The 21,005-nt window shown below is 37.2% G+C and overlaps 1 protein-coding gene across 7 annotated transcripts in view, besides 2 other annotated features; it reads left to right on the top strand.

Moving 5' to 3' along the window:
• The window catches only part of OLFM3 (olfactomedin 3), a 194,367-nt gene that overhangs the window by 148,571 nt on the left and 24,791 nt on the right, over positions 1-21,005 (top strand). For 4 of the 7 annotated variants that reach the window (NR_110211.2, NR_110210.2, NM_058170.4 and 1 more), the window contains 2 exons: positions 11,331-11,477; positions 17,529-17,684. Coding sequence is in view for 4 of the 7 variants with exons in the window: in NM_058170.4 (NP_477518.2) it covers positions 11,331-11,477; positions 17,529-17,684 (303 nt within the window). In the remaining 3 variants the exon portion in view is untranslated. Of the gene's footprint in view, positions 1-1,367; positions 1,512-2,621; positions 2,877-11,330; positions 11,478-17,528; positions 17,685-21,005 lie in introns of those variants that run through there. The other 3 variants (NR_110212.2, NM_001288821.2, XM_047444385.1) reach the window with 2 other exon arrangements.
• Positions 1,080-1,584: an enhancer, noted in NCBI's record as "NANOG hESC enhancer chr1:102312328-102312832 (GRCh37/hg19 assembly coordinates)". NCBI's record gives its function as "activates a minimal SCP1, AML or CMV promoter by ChIP-STARR-seq in naive H9 embryonic stem cells {active_cell/tissue: H9 hESC(naive)}" and the evidence as "EXISTENCE:reporter gene assay evidence [ECO:0000049][PMID:30033119]".
• Positions 4,677-5,580: an enhancer, noted in NCBI's record as "OCT4-NANOG hESC enhancer chr1:102308332-102309235 (GRCh37/hg19 assembly coordinates)". NCBI's record gives its function as "activates a minimal SCP1, AML or CMV promoter by ChIP-STARR-seq in naive H9 embryonic stem cells {active_cell/tissue: H9 hESC(naive)}" and the evidence as "EXISTENCE:reporter gene assay evidence [ECO:0000049][PMID:30033119]".

Here is a 21,005-nt window from a genome sequence, read left to right as displayed (position 1 = left end):
GCCAAAACTATTTAAGAAAAATATATATCTTTGGCTGAAGATTCCAAATACAAACAAGTCCAGAATTCTCCTAAGAAATCAAAACAATACTTTTCCTTTTTGTAACCAATTTCTTTTCATTTAATTTTCATTCATCCATATTTTGTTTTGTGTCTTCTCTTTATATTTTTACTTTAAAACACATATATTGGATAAGACAAAGACCTCTGATTTCTTTCATTTGGAACCTGAGATTTGGATGTGGAAAATTTATAGTATTTATGAAAACAATATAATAAAGTTACCCATAAACCCTGGATTCTATATACCACACTTGCTAATGTAATCTAATAAACAGATCATTGAATTTGAGAGCTGGAAGGGACCTTGGAGAGCATATTTTCCAACATCCTTATATTGTAGAAAAAACTGAAGCCAAGGAATCTTGTCACCGGCCAGTCATATGGCTAACTAGAGGAGAACAAATACTAGATCCCAGACTTCCTGAGTCCAAGTCCTGTGCCCTTTATACTAAATCACATGTTCTCTCAAGATACAGACTTTCCATATCAGTCCGTCATTCCTCACAAACTGAAAATAGAGTTAACTGAGTTTCCTGTGTGACTGAACACCTACGAAGCAAAGCCTTCATTCTCAAAAGCAAAACTGGAAACACATATAAAATTTCTGTAACAGAAGTTTTTCTGCAAGGCTGTCTTTTCTCTTTTCTGTCTGTTCAGGTGTAAGATGCCTAAAGGTAATGTTTGCCACAAGCAGTAGCTATTAATCTTTGACTATATTTTTAAAGCAATGATGCTAATTTTAGGTTACTTTCTAAAAAAAAAAATTATCTCCTACTCTCAATATGATCATCTGGAAAATTATTTGCAGACTTTATTTTCATGTTCTTCCTAAAAGCACTCTGTCCTTGCCCAGAGAAATCTGTAGATATTAAGTTTGGTGTTTGAAATGTGCACTTTGGCAGACCTCCATTTAAAGGTGTATTTTTTTTTTTTAATGAAAGATAAAGAGTAGCTGATTATACTTACACAAACCCCAGAGGAAATGGATTCTGTTGATGGTAACTAACTAAAGTGGAGCTGGGAAAGCTCAAGTTTCCGCCTCCCTCCAACCTCTGCTCTCTGATAATTACCAACCAAGCCTATCAAGAATATTTTGTTTGATGATCCAGCAAAATGTCTGGTAAGGGAGGAAAAAGAAGGGCAGGGCACTTCCCACGAGGATGGGGGAAGGAGGTTCCGAAGCTTTCCTGGGTGATTAGAGCTGGGGAAGTTGATCTCTTTTCATGCTGTAGATGTGGCGCGCTGCAGTCACGCCTCCCGCTGCCAGCCCGGCACCGGGATCTTAATCAGTCACTATGAAAACTCATTAGCTCCACAGCAATGAGTCCTCCACTGCTGAAGCTTGGCGCTGTGCTTAGTACCATGGCAATGATCTCAAACTGGATGTCCCAAACTCTCCCATCCTTGGTGGGACTGAACACCACGAGGCTGTCGACTCCGGATACCTTAGTAAGTTACTGCGGTGGGTTTGGCCATCTTGAGAAGTAAGTGCATTTAGTGGGCTTTGTTTTGTAAATTGCAAAGGCTAAGATTTTGCTTCTGCCTTTACAGGTCAGCTTCAAAAATGTAGTAACTATGTGGTAACTTTCATCATATTTATTTATAAACACTTTATAGTTATACCCCAAAAATGGACTGCTTGAGAAATGAGCTATGAAAGAGAATACCAGAGTCATTAAATTCTTAAGGGTGAAAAGCTTTAACTATATTACTTGGAAGCTTGGGCAATTCTTAAAAATATATATATATATATGTTTTGTTTCTTATTCTTTTACTTATTTTAATATCTGTAAAAATCTTCATAATTTTTCCCACAAAGTAAGCTACAAAGTATATTCTGTCAAATCTAGTTCTGCTACAGCAGATTCTTCCTTGGAATGCAATGCCTGTGACTATTTGCAATGAATTCACTCAAAGAAACTAACATCTTTTAAGCATAAATGAATGAAAAAACTCGCCAATTTAAGGCCTGCCCAAAATTCCTTTAAGAAAGCTAAGAAACATGAGCAATAGAAAACTTACTTGATAAAAACATCTTCCTGTATTTTTAATATTTTATGAAGACTTCCTATCACAAGACTGTCTTGTATAATCTTCATTCATCTAAAATTAATGGCTTTTTAATCCTCCCTACTTTCTAACAAAGTATTTCCTGATAGTTTGAAGCAAGGTTCAGTGAGCAACATGTTTGATATTTCAAAGAAAAATGAAAACTATTGTTTTTTGAAATAGAAATTTACAAATTCAAATAAAAGGAATTTCTTAGAAAATAATTCCTCTGCCCTGAAATAAAAGGTACAGAAGCAAAACTAGGGGTTTTCACTTTCATGTGGGTTACTCCAGTGGATCAGAAAAAGTCAGATATGGAAAGAAAAGTAGCCCTCCATTTCCAAGTGTTATTTGCTGTTACTAATAATAATCTATCAACCAATGTTAATCAACTGAGTATAGTCTGACCAAAAAGTTAAATAATTTTCCAGATTCTCCCAGTGCTTAAGGCACCAGCAGAGCACATACAAGCCACACTTTGACCTGCTTTTACATTTTCATTTCCCTTAGGTTACTTATGGAACCCCAGAGCCTCCATTGCTGAGATCCTCTTCCCTACCTGCATGAAGTGGCCTGGCAGGAAGGATGTAAAAGAGATTTGGAGTTATAAAGAAAGCAAGAGATAGACATCAATAAACAATTACAAAACATAAACTTATATTATCTAATATTTACTGAGCCAATTTTTTTTTCAATGTCCAAGTACCAGATTTCAACAACATCATTGTTGAATTAACTCTTGCAGGATAATGAATGTAAACTGAGGTACTAATGAATGAGTTATATTTCAAACTTTGCACCTTGATTCTGACATGTATATTTTTTGTGTATATAGACATTGGCTTGGTTTTTTTTTATTGTTGACTGATGAGAATGAAATTTCCAAAATTATACATGATTCTCTTAGGATTTCTAGTTATCTTACAAGTAAATTAAATATCTTTACTTACTGATTGAAAAATTGTTAGTTGAAAAATATAAAGCATTGCTGTATGTCTGTATATGTTTTGACACAGACAATTCTTACTTTTGATTCCCCCCTTTGCAAAAAAAATAATAATAATAAGAAAATAATAAGAAGAAGAAAATAATAATAAGAAGAAGAACAAAAGCAGAAAATGTAGAAAAGGTTTCACTATGGCTACTGAAAATAAACCAGTAAATGGTATTCACTGGAATGGAGAAAACCTTTTTTGGATGTTTCTTTTTTTTATTTTAGGTATGCTTTCCAGAAGAGCAATGTCTATGACATTTCCCTAATTATCCAAATGAGTGCTCATACTTTAAGATTCCCGGGGTGAAGAATGAATGCATCAGTATCTCTTAGACTAGGAACATAAAATGTTAATGCTAGAAAGGTGGAAAGGATCTTAGAAACCATCAAGCCAGTTATGTTCATACTATTTTTAGCAGCAGATTTTTTTTTTGCAAATTAAATCTTATATGTGCTAAATAAATATTTTTGAATAAAACAAAATGAAAATTCAAAACATAAAAGAGGTCTTAAGTCAGATAATAAATGATTGGGAGAGGCATTTACTGGGCCTCCACCATGTGTTATCTCCCCACACAATCAACTGCTTGTCTCAGTCAAGATATCTCCTTAGAAATCTTAGGGCTCTCAAGACTTTAGCTGGAAATATGACTGATCTAATTCAGCCTCATTATTCTACAAATGGGGAGACTAACTGGAAATATTTAAGCCACCAATCAGATTTCCCCCATTTGGTTAATGGCAGAGGCAAGTGTGGAACCAAGTTACATGACTACCTCCCTACTCAACAAAGCTATTTCACCATTGCTTTGCCAGTCATTGGCCCTCTTGGTCCCTGGTGCCCCACTAGGTTCTCACTACCCTGCTCAGATTGTTTCCATGTCCCTGGATTCTTCTTCTTTCCCTCCTACACACCAACACCTTCATCCTTTAAAGTATGTTTTCTCATCTCCCTGGCCTCATAGAATTGGAGAAAAGCTATACTCTCAATTATGTCATAACCATTCCCAAAGGTTTTGCATTTATAAAGAAGAAAAAAATCCTCCTTTCTTGGCATTTTAGGCATGTGACAAAGCAGTGAAAGAGGTTCTTTTGCTTAGGGGATTCTTCCTGCTGCCTCTCAAATAATTCCAAGGGACCCTTACTGCTGCTTCCATGTGGAGGGCCAGCAAAACTCTTCCCTTAGATGGAAGGGTTGACAGCTCCCTGGCTCACTAGGTATTGCTGTAAAGTAGTAAACCAGCTCTTCTCATCAATGTTCTCACTCCATGTTCTCACTTTAAACAGTATGAATGGGATGAGTTTGCAATATACCACACGCACACGCACACGCAGGTCTTGAAATCTGAATGTTCATGGAATACGCAGAGGTTAAAAAAACAGATTAACATAAATACGATGGTTTAAGAAAAGCAGATTTACACAAATATGATCATAGTCCTTTTTTAGAATGATAGTTTCAAATGACCTGGAAAAAGAAAACCAGGAAAAATAGAGTTTAAATCATTAAATGGCAATTAAATCAATTTATGGCAGGTGCCTCTGAAACAGGACACATTTGATTATCTCAAAAGCTGAAAGGGGTTTTAAAATTTCCAGGATGTTTTTATTAGTAAGTAGTTAAATACAGCTCCTTATTAGGGGAATAAGCTCCTTCTTGTTTTTCTCAGAATCTTGAAACATTCCTTTATCCTTCTTGTTGGCCCTGTTTTCTTTCTTTTTTATTCCCCTTCCAATCTATCCACTGGGCCCATCAGCCTTTGGAGGCATTGGTTTCTGAGCAGAGGAAGCCTCAGCTCTCAGAAGGCTCAGGCTCCCTCTGGCGCGTCTCTTGAATGCAGAGTAACTTCCCCTAGAGGCTGAGCTTCTGAGAAATCCCTCACGCTGTGGGCTTCACACCAGGAAGACCCTGGGAAAGAGCAATTAAAAAAGTTGAGGACATTCAGCAGACACCCGCTGTTCTCAAATAGCCCTACTGCTGTGGTGGGAAGAGGCCTCGAAGGAACCTGTGGGCATGTCATTTGTTTTGGTACATTTTCAAAGGTCTAGCTGGCTTCTCCTCATGAATAACTACTTTGATGAGTTAGTCAATTTAAAGTTCTATAAAATGAGTAGAATCCCCTGAAATGAACTGTCAATATCTTCTAAGCTTCTTAACCTCAATTAACCAATGTGTTTTAGTCCTGGATGAAGATATCTGATTTAACTGATTTGTATATGACTGTTTTTCCCCCCAAATTCTGTTTTCCTTCCCTAAACTCTTAGGTAATGCTCATTTCGTGATAGGGCAACTGAACAAATTAAGGAGGGAAGCCAGGTGAGAGAACAGAATGGCAAATCTTGATGGTGACAGAGAATATGATCATTGCTTTCTTATAGAAGAATCCTCACATGAATAAGAGAGTAGATTTATTCTAGCTTGAGTGCCTGAAGCAAAAGTAGGGCCAAAGAAGGAAAACTGCAGAGAGAGGAGTTCGGCTCATGCCCCCTGCTTTTCTTCAGTGGAGGGGGCTGCCTGTAAAGCAGTGAAATCCCTTTCATGCAGAGGTCTAATGGAAACACAAGGAGAATTTGTAGACGTTCCATTGTGTGGAAAGACATGGGACTAAATATGACTTCTAAGGACCTCCCCAAGTCTAAGTCATTGTGATTTCCAAAGGGCATAAGCAGAGGTGACCAACCTAAATTTATTATTATTATTATTTTCAGACAGTCTCACTCTGTCACCTAGGCTGTAGTGCCATGGCACTATCTCGGCTCACTGTAGCCTCGACTTCCCAGGCTCAAGCCATCTTCCCACTTCAGCGGCCCCCCATCTCACCCCACTGAGTAGCTGGGACTATAGGCTACCAGGTCCAGCTAATTTTTGTATTTTTCCTAGAGATGAGGGGGTCTCATTATGCTGCCCAGGCTGGTCTCAAACTCCTGGGCTCAAGCCATCCACCTGCCCCAGCCTCCCAAAGTGTTGGGATTATAGACCTGAGCCACTGCACCCTAACCTAAATTTGATAATGTTTTTGGTTTTTATTCATTATTATTATTATTATTTTTGCTTTTATAGTTGTTTTTTCTTAAAGCCTGGAGGTTTCCTTCAGTGAAGAATACGCGTTTCTTATTCAGTCCTAAGAATTATTATAAGTAATAGCAAGAAAACAGCTATGCAGTGACATCTTTATTAACATCCTCCAGAACACAGCTTCTTTTGGCGTGGTCTGTCGACATCTGTCTAATTCCTGTCCTCACATTTTCTTGTCTCCACAACTGAAGCCATTAGCATGCTAAACCACATGTCACTCTCTGGGACCAAGCCTATCTTCAGACAGAAAATTTATCAGGGATTTTTCATCACTCAGGTATCTCCACTCTAAATCAAGTAAGTTTTAATAAACAGATTTATTTAGGCTTTATTTCCTCCATTTGTACAACACTTTCAGTAGCTATATCCCTTTTTGTCCTTTTTATGAAATACCCAGAAAATCAGGATAATACAAAAAATCTAGCAATATTCGATCAGTTGATTTTCTTCTGTTCAAAGGATCAGAATTCTCTTACTTTGCCTGTCCCTCCATCTAGACCCTGATAAATGATTGCCGTGCCTTCCACAGGAATATCTGACTATATATTGCAGAGCCTGTACTGCTATCTGTTCCTCTGAGGCACCAATGGCTACTTGTTTCCATGCTGTTTGGATAATGCCCTCTACCTGCCTGGGTGCATCTCTTCTCATCAACTACAGTGGGGCCTGTCTTCTCTATAGCAGTGTTTATGGTTACTGGTGAATGGACATAGATGATCTATCTACATTTATCCAAAGAGTATGAGCATAAAAAGCTCTGGGCTAAAAACTGGGGAAAGCTGGTATAAGTCCTATATATGGCATTAACAAAATGGATGACTTATAAAACATGTTTAAGTTCTTTGAGTATTGGTTTCCAGTTTCCTCATAAGTAAATTTAAATACTGTCTATTTCTAAGGATAGTTCGTTCAAGAAAAGTGAGACTAAAACAATAGCAGGGATTTTATAAGCAAAAAATCTATTGAAATGCAAGGTAGTTTGATTATTTTTTACTTTTACTTGTCAAGCCTCAAGATCCTTCTTTCCTATTACAAAGCCCCTGAAGCCTTAGAACTATCATATACTAGCTTTATATTTATAAAGCACAGCTTTGTAATTAAGTTATAAGCAAATAATCCAGATTTGTAATACAATTGTTAAAACTATAATTTTAATTCTCCTATTTAGAGCATTCTTAAATATTTTATGAGTTTTACAATATTAAAAACTGCTCAATACTTCATTTAGTTCTTCCAATTAACACGAAAGGTTCAAAGAGAACTGCATCAGTAATCACTGTGATTATTAATGCTTTGGGTACCACTAAACTATATGTACCCTCCAGGTCTAAGCACTGAGCTTCACAGTAGTTCAGAAAATGCTACCAAGGTTATAATCATTATGTATGAAAGGGTATTAAAATAATTGATGGTGTAGTGTGGTGGTTAAATTTCACTCTCTGTTGGGAGGCCGAGGCGGGCAGATTGCCTGAGTCCAGGAGTGCGAGGTAGGCCTGAGCAACATGGTAAAACCCCATCACCAAAAAAGATACAAAAATTAACTGGGCGTGATTGTGTGTGCCTACAGTCTCAGCTACTCAGGAAACTGTGGTGGGAGAATCACTTGAACTCAGGAGGCAGTGGTTGCAGTGAGCTGAGATCACCCCACTACACTTCAGCTTGGACAACAGAGCGAGAACCTGTCTCAAAAAAAAAAAAAAATCTCTGAAATAAGACTCTCTCAGTACAAATCCCAGGTCTGCCTAAAAGGCAGATTTACACAAATCTCCCTACTCACTGGCTGATACTCCCTGCATGACTTTGAACAAGTTCCTTCCTGTCTCTGAGTCTGTTTCCTCATCTGTATAATGGGCAGAATACCACCACCTAGTCCATAGGTGTATTATAATATTCGAAAGCAATAGCACATATGAACTGCCAGGTAATGAATAGAACTCCATTAATGATTGCTATTCCTGTTGCATGTTTTATTGACACCTAAATAATTGTTCTTATATGTTAAAATTGGAGCAAGTCTTTTCCAAAAAACTTCTAAATACGTCCTTCCATCCGAGATCTTAGTTGGTTTGATTTTGATTCTCTTTTCAATGCCAGCATGGATTCTCTAAAAGAGAACACTAGAAACACTCATAAAGCTTCTATTTATCACTGACCCCAACACAGAGGTCTCTATCAAAACCCACAGGACTGTCAAGCACTCATCTTTTCTATTAGGTTTTTTCCTCTTTTGAGTTACCTTTTTCTTGTCAAAAAGCTGGCTTTTTATAGTTTAAATCATTCAAAGTAACTCTGTAGTAGAGAAGGTCATGGCTCTTTTCACTGATTCTTACAATAAGACAATTGGAAGTACAAACAAGTCTGGAGTCTTTAGTTTTATTGAACTGACACTTCAGGGGAAATGCTAAATGAACATTAAACCCTCTTCACCTTTCCCACTTCCCTGGTTCCAGAGAGCAACTGACATGGAGTTCTGTCATGATGAGCTCCACACTAGTTAGCCAAACACTTGGCAAGTGCACGTCAATATTAATGCTGCCAGGTTTAATAATCAGTGTTTGGACTGCTGTTAAAATATTTTAATATTATAATTGGGTGGCCTCTCATCCTTTGTCCAATAGATTAATTTATCCTAGTGACAAGCCTCAATTTTCTGGCATATTTTAGATTTGCGTCCAATGTTAGGAGATGCCCAGCTAAAACTGCAGGGCTTATGTCCAGATACATCAATCGCATACTGTTACTCAACTTGAACCTAATTATATCATTGAAATTACTCTGGTAAGCTGTTTCTATTTCCATTCTGTGGGTAGTCTGCATTTTAAAAAATAATACTAAAAGACTAACCCAGTAATCTCTAAGATCTTATCTAATTTGAATAATGTATAATTCTAAGTACATCTTTCCATCCTAACTGGATATTCAAGCATAAGAGCTAGAAAGAAGGGATGGGGAGAATGTTAACGAGTCTGACCCCCAAAAATAAAAGGCAGCATTGGAAACATCTATGAATTAATTTTTTTAAAGGAGTTAGAAAATAAGACATTCAAAAGATATGTCTGGTACCATTTCCTTTACGTAATAGATCAAGGATGATGACTTGGTATCATCATGAGTTTCTTGAGTTTATAATTTTTAGCATCCCCAATATTTGCTCATGATTGTTGTTGGAAGGCCTATCGGCACCTAGAAGTAGTTATCATTAAAGCTTTCAGAAGAAAAAGACCTTTGTGGTGGTTTATGGTATGTGATGAGCTAGAACCTAGGACAAAGTATACGGGAGATTGTGTCTCTTCTGCTGTGAATTCTAGAGACAGAAGACTCCACCTACTATGGTAAATCTGTGGAGAAAGAAGTCAACCTGGTTCATGCTTTAGTTACTTTAAGAATTTGCTCCTGGCCCAGCGCGGTGGCTTAGAGCTTTAGTCGCAGCACTTTGGGAGGCTGAGGCAGGCGGATCACCTGAGATCAGGAGTCTGAGACCAGCCTGGCCAGCATGGCGAGATCCAACTCTACTAAAATAGCTTCTATCTGTATAATGAAAAGAACTTTTTAATGGAATATCAGGAGAAGCTAGAAAAATAAAACCATCAAGTTTATTAATACAGACACTTCTAGTTTACAGAATTTCAAGTCTACATGTGGTAACTTTCTTCCACTGAAATTTATTTATGAAAATAAATTTGGTGTACATTATTTGGAAGTCTATTGATGTTCTTGCTGAAAAATGATTTCATAAAAAATAATAATGCTTATCTTTGTGCTTGATAGAGTCTACTTGATAGGTCAAATAGGAAATATTTACATTTCTAATAGCTGGGCTGGTTGCAGTGGTTCATGCCTGTTATCCCGGCACTTTGGGAGGCCGAGGCGGTTGGATCACATGAGCCTAGGAATTCAAGACCAGGCTGGCCAACATAGTGAAACCCCATCTCTACTGAAAATACAAAAATTAGCCAGACATGGTGACACATGCCTGTAATCCCAGCTACTCAAGAGGCTGAGGCAGGTGAATCGCTTGAACGTGAGAAGCAGAGGTTGCAGTGAGCTGAGATATCGGCTGAGGTGGGAGGATTGCTTGAGCCCAGGAGGCTGCAGTGGCTGTGATCTCACCCCTGCACTCCAGCCTGGGTGACAGAGTGAGGTTTTGTCTATATATAAAAAAAAATAGCTGGATATAAGCTAATTGTTGAAATGAGATATGTGAAAGGCAAATGACAATTCTAGAAAATATACATTAAATACCTAATGAATAGTACAGACAGTTTCTTCACAACAGGTAGAAATCACAAGGGCTGAATAAATTCATGGTTTATAAAGGAGGCATTCCAAGCAGGAAAAATGAAATGAGCGACATAAAAAGACATGAATCAACATGGCATGCTTGCACGACGCACACAGACCGATTTGGTTAAAGGTTTCTGTTGGATGGTACAGAAGATAAATCTAGAAGCATAAATTGCAGAAAAACTACAGTAGAACTGGAATACCACCCCTTCACACTTGAGTTCTAAGAAGGTAGAGTGATAAGTGTACAGAAGTTTTTGGGAAAATCAATTTGGCAGACTCTGCCAAAAACTCTAAGTCCTCTAAGAGTCTGCATTTCGTGCAAAATAGTGCTGGTCTAATTATTTTTAACCTATGTCGTCAATGATCTCTTTTCCACTTTATTAATAATTAAGGCTTCAATATATGGGAAACCTCCTTGAAACAGGACTTTGTTTCAGAATATCACACATGAATTATAATTAGAAAATAATATATTAATATTAGTAATTGTCATTTACTGTTAAGAAGATCTTATGTAGAAAGACGAGTCATATGTGATTAAGTAGTTACTAGATGCTTCTAAAGTTGCATTAAAATGTCACAAAATAGAAAAAGCATTGGGAAATAGTATGAGATCAAAATCAGTTACTAATATGGCACCTGAAGACAAGAAAGGATCTTGTTTTGGACATTGATAAGGAGGGTATACTGAATGAAGCTATACTGCCTATATAAATTGTTTAATATCTCTCTGCTAACTTTAAAGATTGAAAACACAAAGTTAAATTATCAAAAAAGTGTTTTACTTGAAATGCTACAAACCAACACTCTTTTTATCCTATAACAGGAGTCTGTGTTTTATGTTTCCCTTTGGTTTCCTCAGACTCAGATTAGTCCTAAAGAAGGGTGGCAGGTGTACAGCTCAGCTCAGGATCCTGATGGGCGGTGCATTTGCACAGTTGTTGCTCCAGAACAAAACCTGTGTTCCCGGGATGCCAAAAGCAGGCAACTTCGCCAACTACTGGAAAAGGTAGGTGTCCTGTGTCCCCTATGCATATTTTTAGTAAAATCGACCATTCTTTCAAAAGGAAATATGGTAGAGCCGATAATAATGAAGAGGATTCTTTTGATTTTTGTCCCCCTTCTCAGATAAGCTTTTTTTTCTGATCCTTGAAAGGGTTACCTCAAGCTTCCTGCTATTGTCTTTGTCCTATTTCTATGACTTTTTACTTTTTCTAACCTTGCCACCTTAAGACTGGCTCTCTACCATATATCTTAATCTCTAGTTGATATCTCATTAAGGAAAAAAAAAAAGCATCTTATTCTGATGCCAAAAATTCAGCTCCACTCTCAGGATCACACTAGACTCTTGGAGCTCAAACTTTTGAATCCCATAACAACCTTGCAATAAAGTTAAAATAATTGCATGTGATATGCAAGCTATCTGGACAGATAATGAATAATTCCAAGTGTTTATCATCATTCTCTAAGTGATTCCTTTTAACATTAAGCTCTTCAATTTCATTCAATACCATTCTCTCCATAATTTACTTAATATGGATTCATAACAATCAAATGCAGAATGTCTTTGATTTATTCTCTTTTACACATAAATGTGAGCTCATGAAAGGTTATTTATGTTTAGTTGGGAGGGAGGAAAACCAATGAATCGTTCTGTCAAATATTCTCACTCAGACTTTCACTGTGCTGGGCTCTAAATGTAGTAAGACAGCTGGAGTGGCCAGATTATGGAAAGATGACGTGTTTGGATTCTAAATGTCATTAGGAATAATAAGATAAATTAGGTAGTATGTGTTCTAGAGGACATCATGCTTAACAATTGACTCTGTGTGATGTCATTTTCATGATCACCCACACATTTATGGCATTGAATAGAAACTTTTTAACAAAAAATGAAGAGAAGCTAGAAAAATGAAATCAAGTTTTTTAATAGAGACACTCATTATTTACACAATTTCAGGCTGCCATGGTGACTTTCTTCCACTGCTACATAGTGAAAATAAGTTTCCTCTGTATATATTATTTGCAAGTATATTGATGCTCTAAGATTTTAGGATTTTTTCATGTGCTTATATAAAGCTTAGTCTGTTTCTCCTTCCCCTCTGCTTGAAGTTATCATCACCTATTGGCCCTTTCTTCTTAAGCCTCCTTTTATGGCAAGATCCCATCCTTTCGGATCCCTCAATATCTGTCATCCAACAAGAGCATATGTCATTTTCATTCAGAATAATGACTTCAGCTAACATGCATCTAACTATTAGAAACCATGACAAGGCCAGGTGTGCTGGCTCACGCCTGTAATCCCAACACTTTGGGAGGCCAAGGCAGGTGGATCACCTGAGATCAGGAGTTGGCAACACAGCCTGGCCAACATGGCAAAACACCATCTCTACTAAAAATCCAAAATTAACTGGGCATTGTGGTGTGCACCTGTAATACCAGCTACTCAGGAGGCTGAAGCAGGAGAATCTCTTGAACCTGGGAGGCGGAGGTTGCAATGAGCTGAGAACTCACCACTGCACTCCAGCCTGGGTGACAGAGCAAGAATTATGATTATTCTTGAGTTTATTTTCCAAAGTTGATTTTTTTATTTATATAAAAATTCAAATATATATTTTGTTTGTTTACCAGGGAAATTATTTACATTAGTAAAAAGATCTAATCTTTTACATCCAATTTTGCTTTCCTGTTAAATTGTATTTCCCTTCAGATAATCAATGTTCTTCACCAAATCTTCTTTTCTACCCAGAAATATCTTTTTTTCTATATAAACTAAGGTGAGAGATTTTCTTAGACACCATACTTTATCTTCTGTGTTGCTATTTTTCAGTACAGCATTACATATTCACACCTACACATACACTCAAACATTTCTTCAAAAATCAGTTGAAAAAATTAAAATAAAGTATAAATGTCAGAAAGTGGATAATTCCCTTTACAGGTTCAAAGTAAAATGTATTTCATAGCTATGATAAAACTGGGAAGTAGTGAAAGATGAAGAAAGCAAAAATGTATGAAAGCATTATATTGGTTGGTTGAAAATAATAATAGAAATTAATATGACCACTCCATCCATCCAACATGTAATTTGTCTGAATGTTTTCAAGAAATTCTAGAACATAATACCTTTAAAAATTTATTAATACATAAATGACAAAAAACAAAATTTATTCACAAAATTGGAGTCACCACAAGGCAGATGTATTAAACTTACCATATGGTAGTTTTAGAGCAACAGAGGAATCGTAAATTGTGTGCACTCTTTTACAGTGGCCTGAAGGAGGTTAAGTAGCACTGGTTTGCTGCACTGATCCAAAGAAAAGATGTCTGAGATATCACAGTATTTCAGACTGAGCCAGTCCCTTGCTTATCTCTCTATAGTTTCACATATATCCAAGGCACCAAAGGGCAAACAAGAGCATGACCTTTAAGCACCTCCTTCACTTTTAACCAAAAAGATTGATTTAGTCACATATAAGGGAATATTGTTAATAAAGACAATATTTACAACAATAGTTCCCATTATTAGTATATTTTGTATTATATTTTGTATCTACTTCATTAAATCCTTATAGAAGGGATAGTTATCTTTCTAAGTTTATGTAAAAGAAAACTGGTGGTTTTTAGGTTGAAAACTTTCCATTGTCACTCAATCAGTAAGTTGTGGCTCTAACAGATCCGTTTGCATTTTCTCAATGCTGTACCAGTGTCATACAAAATCCCACTGGTATATCCATACTTATTTAAGTGATGCTCTGTTTGCCATTTAACAGGTATTTATATTATTGAATATTAGAAAAAATATAATTGGTTTCACAGTATTTCAGGTCTTAGTATGCCAAAACTAAAATTGCTCACCTAAAAAATTATTTGTTTGTTAACTATGTAGCTTCCCTGTACAGTTAAAGATGTCTTGTATTATCTAAGTCAATATTTCCTAAAGTGTGATTTTTTTTAATAGGACACTGCCATCATCCTCACCAATGACATAAGTTTAAGAAACATTGTACATGATACTTCATTCTTGAAGATTTCTAATACACAGTTTACTACTAAAGTTTTTGTTAAGTCCTACAGTCAAGAAATCGGTTTATATGTGTTAAATTCAAGGCTATCCAAATGTATTTAATTAATAGACCTTTTTTTTCAAGTGACCACCTCACTAATTATGAGTGAGAGTGAAAATCAAAGTTAATTTGTGTTTAAGTCCAGAAAAGCCCCAGATATCTTATTTATACAAAGAACCAGAATAAATAAAAATTCCAAAAGAATTATCCAGGAAGGGCGACAATGAGCTTGCCAAACTATGCTGAGAGATCCTAATCACAGAAACACCTCTGGAAAGCTGAATCATAGAACAACCGCAGAGATAAGCCAACAAAAAGAGGGAACATAGCAGACAGTTCTCCTTCCTTACTCATGTCGTCATGGGTATTCAGTCTCCCGTGTCATCAGGAAACTGATGCTCTGTAGGCCTCTATAGCCAGTGGGAAACTAAACAATCCTAGTTATAACCAGCAAGAGATGCTTAAGACCACCTGAAGCCAAATCCTGGCCAATTAGACAGCTCTAGCTCTAGCCATTACCCCAAATGTAGCTCCTCTAATTACACATGATTCTGCAATATAGGTCACCATCAAGCCTTAGCAAAAATTATCTCAGTGCATTTTCCTGTAACACAAATGAAGTTGAAAATTAACCTTATAGGGTGAGTCAAAGGCAGAAATAAAGACAGGCTATTTTAACTTTATCCAGAATACCTTATCTTGCCCATCATTTTCTAATTGTATAGACTTGGCCCAGGTACATAGAATTATTACCAGGATATCAGCCATGCTAATGATAGGTGTCCTCACAGACAAATGCCATATTTAAATACGTAGACAGTTTTTTTTAATGCAAATGGCTTTTCCTTATACATGTTTAACCACAAATGAAGTTAGAAAGTTATGTTGAAAGCATTGCATTTATCCACAATGGCGTTACCATGCTTCCAATGTTGTCTTAGTAATTTTGTGCTAGATTAAATATTTTGAAAATTAAAAATAAAGCTTTCGGAATATTAAACTTTTAGTAAATTAAGAAATACTTACATTCCTATAATGCTGTTGCCTAACCAGAGACAGGAGTAGGAAGACTCTCCTTAAAATTCTAAATACTTATTATTACTATTACAAACCCAAGATAATTTTACTCAATAAATATTCACTGAACACTTACTCTGTGCCTGGTTCCGTGTAAGGTCTTGGAAATGGAAGATATGAGTAAGACACAGCTTCTAACCTCATGGAGCTCACAAAGGGAAGGCTACTTCCCTGCCCCTACTCCACACCCACATAACACAATTAGTTTTAAGATAAGCCAGACTGTAATATGTCCTAAAAGGACAGGATCCAAAAAGGGCAAGATGATGGATCAAGACAGCAGAGGGAACAGAAAAGGGTGAAAAAAAGGCAAAGAACTGAGGCAGGCCAAGACAGTATTCATTGCCTTTTTCCAATATTATAGTTCTAAGGAATGTATCAACTATGGGAACTTTACAGCTGGCTGATCCATTTAGCATTGCCACTTTATCTGATGACAAAAATTTGTGTCTGAACAAGTCATCCCTTTGTAAATCACATGTTTTCAATGAAAATAACTTTTTACTGATTATATGTGTGTGCATGTATTTGTATTTGATTTAGAATAAACAGATTGGCTGGACGCAGTGGCTCACACCTGTAATCCCAGCACTTTGGGAGGTCAAGGTGGGTGGATTACTTGAGGTGATAGTCATCAATGTGATGAAACTCCGACTCTAATAAAAATACGAAAATTAGCCAGGCGTAGTGGCGTGCACCTGTAATCCCAGCTACTCAGGAGACTGAGACAGGAGAATTTTTTGAACCCAGGAGGCGGAGGTTGTGGTGAGCTGAGATCATGCCACTGCACTCCAGCCTGGGTGACAGAGCGAGACTCCGTCTCACAAAAAACAGCAACAACAACAAAAGCAACAAAAAAGATCAAATTTTATGAAGATCTTTACATTTGCTTTTCTCATTGAAATCTTTCTATATTGAGCAGTACTTCTCAAACTTTAATAGACATAGGAATCACTTGGGAATCTTGATAAATGTATATTTTGATTCAGTAGTTCTGGATGAGCATTTCTGAGATTTTGCATTTCTGACAAACTCCTAGGTGATACCAAAATTGTTGCTTTGAGTACTAACAGCATAGAGATCTATCTTAATCTTTATAACGGGTCATTCATATTCTATTTCTCTATTTAACACATCCCCTGTTATTAGATGCTTTCTCTTTGTTTTCAGATTTTTGTTGCTACAAAAATTAGACCAGTCATTTTTTCCTCTCATTTCTGCATGCGTTATAGGTTACCTCTTTTTTACTTCCAAATAGCCCAGGGTTCAGCGAACCTGGGATGGTGCCATTGGCTTAAAATGTGTTTAAGTCCTGTCTACCAAGCACTTGATGCAGTTACCCTTTTCCAGGTCCCTCAAACACTATGCTGTCCAATTTAGGGAGTGTTCTAGTACTGCTACCACTTGTCTTAGTCAATTCAGTCTCACCCCTGGGAGTACTTTAGACCCATTAAGAACTTACTGAGCTAGAATGAATGCATTCTAGGCCTCTTCGACACTTCACTACCATCCACAATTGCTAAACATCCTAAATATTTAAGAAGTCAGAATTAGTACTTACAGAAACAACTTATTTTGACATTTAACAGGTTGGGATGTTATTAGCTTACAAAGCCTTAAAATGAAAATTCTATTTTTAAAGCTTATTTTTCTAATGTATTAAGCCCATTTATATTCAGTCAGTTCTAATGCTAGAATGCCCGTTTTTAAATTTCCTGTCTAGGTATAATTTTCTCTTGCTGAATTCTTTAAATGTTTATAATGAAGAATTGTTCTTCTGAAAATGTGTCATATGGGAACCCAGTTATGAATTTGGCACTTCTAGTTTTTATGTTAACGGCATTTTTGCTATTTCTTAGTGATTGCACAAACCTGCAAACAGATAATAATGTACAGACAATATTCTTGTTCAACAGGTTCAGAACATGTCCCAGTCTATTGAAGTCTTAAACTTGAGAACTCAGAGAGATTTCCAATATGTTTTAAAAATGGAAACCCAAATGAAAGGGCTGAAGGCAAAATTTCGGCAGATTGAAGATGATCGAAAGACACTTATGACCAAGCATTTTCAGGTAGGTTTGACTTCTGCAATCTTGTCAATCCAAATCAGACATGGAGTGGGATGGACAGCAGTGGGGCACTCAGCTAGAAATGAATGTGCATTGGCCCATATGTGCAAGGTAAAAGACTCATGGGGGATTTCAGTCATCTCTCCACTGAAACTGACCATTAGCTGGTAGGAAGACATGGAAGTCTTGCTATAGAAAAAGCTTCATTCTTGTAGAGTTTGGTGGAGTTTCTGAAACAAGGGAAATTTCCCCAAGGAAAATTAATAATTAAATTATAAATGTTTCTCTAATGGTTTTATGCCCTGCTAATATGAAGAAAGATGTAGATGATATAAATTATTTAAAGAGAAAACTATGCCATTAATATGAGCATGTGGAGAGAGTTGTTTCATAAATTTATCCAAATAAAGTATTTTTCTAGATTTTAAGTGTTGTATTGGCAATTATTTACAAATACTGAAAATGGAGAAAAAAATCATGCTATGTCAACTTTTGTTAACTATATATGAAAGAGTTATGAATTTTAAGAAAAAACTCGGCCGGGCGTGGTGGCTCACGCCTGTAATCCTAGCACTTTGGGAGGCCGAGGTGGGCAGATCACAAGGTCAGGAGATTGAGACCATCCTGGCTAAACAGGTGAAACCCCGTCTCTACTAAAAATACAAAAAAAAAATTAGCCGGGTGTGGTGGTGGGCGCCTGTAGTCCCAGCTACTCGGGAGGCTGAGGCAGGAGGATGGCGTGAACCTGGGAGGCGGAGCTTGCAGTGAGCCGAGACAGCGCCACTGCACTCCAGCCTGGGCAACAGAGAGAGACTCCGTCTCAAAAAAAAAAAGAAAAGAAAAAACTCTTGGTCTGCTAATGCAATCTCAGCTCCCATTAAAAGTAAACCACTTGCCTTACCTAGGCATAGCACATAGTTCATAAAACACTGTGGTTGCCCACTTAATAGCCTCTGGTTTTCTTGTCAGTTAGGAAGTGAGATTCACTGCTGATGTTGAGGGAGTGGATCTGAACTCAAGCCCTTGGGCAAGGAAAGGAGTGCTTCCTACACATAGTGGTGGCTGGTGGGGAGCTAGTGAGGAACATGTAACCGAGTCTCTGCATAACACATTTGAATGTGGCAGAAAGTTTCATGGTTTTGTAATTTTCTTCAGTGGTACTCCAGAGACTGAGTAGAGAGGTATAGAAGAACATTACACCCTGAATTGGTTTTAAAGTTTTACCCAGACGGTCACAAAGGAAGAAAAAGAGGGCAAGAAAGTTGAGGGTATTGAAAAGAGAGGGGACTGAAGTGATTAATCATGAGGTTTAAATTGAAGAGAGAAGTACACAAAACCAGCAGGTTAAGTAATTAGGACAAATTAGAGCAAGATTTAGAATATACTTAAATTTAAAGATTATTGAAAATGAGAGTGTGAGTGAACTGGATAAATAGGAAACTTATGGATAAATGGTAAACAGAGAAGAATATGAGGATGAAGAGCAAAAGAATTAATTTTAGCCAGTATTTATCGAGCACATACCATATACAAGGTGCGGTTGGCCCCTCTGCTGGATGTATTATACGTAATCTGTCTTCTATGAAAGACAACTAACAGGCAGGTGAATTGATGGTGAATAGAGGCATAAACATTACTTATGAGCACAAAGGGAGGAGAAATTAATTTTGATTTAAAAAGACCAGGAGAAGAGCTGGTTTCGTACTAGTGACCCTACCCCTCCACTATTAAATTATAGGGGGATCAAGAAAACCAAAAGATTTACTATGTCAATTTTCAATTCTCAGGGTTAGAGTGTAGATGGTAAAATAATAATGGGAACCCAATGCTGAGGTCATCGGCAAAGTAGAAAATAGTAAGCTGGCACCTTAGGTGTGGGAAGAGCATTCCCAGAAGGAACTAGTCAGGAGGAGAGGAGTTCAGACTGTTTGGCGTAGATGGACAATGCAATGAGAATTCTGCAAAGCCAAAGGACAGCTTGAGAGTGTCAGGGTTGACAGGGCTGGGGAATGCATGATGAAGCATGTTCATCTTTGGGAACTTTTGCGAGAAGACAGGAAACTAAGAAACAAAAAGGATACAAAATTGAGATAAACCCCAAAGAAATAATGTACCTAGTCCTATAAATTGCCTAGCAGCAAATCAGCCAGGCTACTAATAAGAAAACAATTTTCAGGCAGCAGCACCATGTGACATAATGGCTTGGATTTTCCTAGTTCATGTAATCCAAGTATACGCTGAAGTTATATGTCAAAATCCAAATAACAGTAATGATAATAACAATAATGATTTTTCAGAATATTATACATATTCAAGGTATAGTTCTGAGCACTTTCAGTATATTAACTGTATAATGCTCGCAACAGTCTTGTAACTCAGGCACTATTTTCATTTCCATTTTAAAGATAAGGAAACTGGAGCACAAAGAGTGTATTGGTCTATTCTCACACTGCTATAAAGATCTGTGCTGAGACTGCGTAATGTGTGAAAGAAAGAGGTTTAATTGACTTACAGTTCTGCATGGCTGGGGAGGCCTCAGGAAACTTACAATCATGATGGAAGGGGAAGCAGTCACCTTCTTCACAAGGCAGGAGGAGAGAGAGAGAGACAGAGAGAGAGAGAGACAGACAGACAGACAGACAGAGAGAGAGAGAGAGAGAGAGAGCATGAATGCAGAAGTACCACACTTTAAAACCATCAGCTCTCATGAGAACTCACTCAGTATCAGAACAGCATGGGGGAAACCACCCCCATGATACAATCACCTTTCACCTGGTCCCTCCCAGACATATGGGAATTACAATTTGGGATAAGATTTAGGTGGGGACACAGAGCCAAACCATATCAAAGAGGTTGAGTAATTTATCCAGAGTCGTATATCTAATATGCATGAGAACCAAGATTCAAATTCAGAAAGTCCAATTCCAAACTTGTACCTTCTAATACTAATGCTGCATTGCTTCTCCAAGTAGACTTTAGGTCTCTGAATTACAAATAATAATAATTAGGTGCTCAACATATATTTGTGGAGTTTATTTATTTCTTGAGTCCTACCATGAGTTGGATTTTGTTCTAGGTGCTAGTACTATACTTGAAAAGAGGAAATGGAACGTTCCAAAGTAAATTCAATATTGAAGAATACTTTTTAAAAAATCTTCCTACCCTGTCTCTACTAAAAATACAAAAACTTAGCTGCGTGTGGTGGCAGGCGCTTGTAGTCCCAGCCACTCGAGAGGCTGAGGCAGGAGAATGGCGTGAACCCGGGAGGTGGAGTTTGCAGTGAGCCGAGATCGCGCCACTGACTGCACTCCAGCCTGGGTGACA

The sequence above is a fragment of the Homo sapiens genome, chromosome 1 (genome assembly GCF_000001405.40).
Source record: "Homo sapiens chromosome 1, GRCh38.p14 Primary Assembly".
NCBI lineage: Eukaryota > Metazoa > Chordata > Mammalia > Primates > Hominidae > Homo > Homo sapiens.
This window is presented reverse-complemented; position numbering and strand designations above follow the sequence as displayed.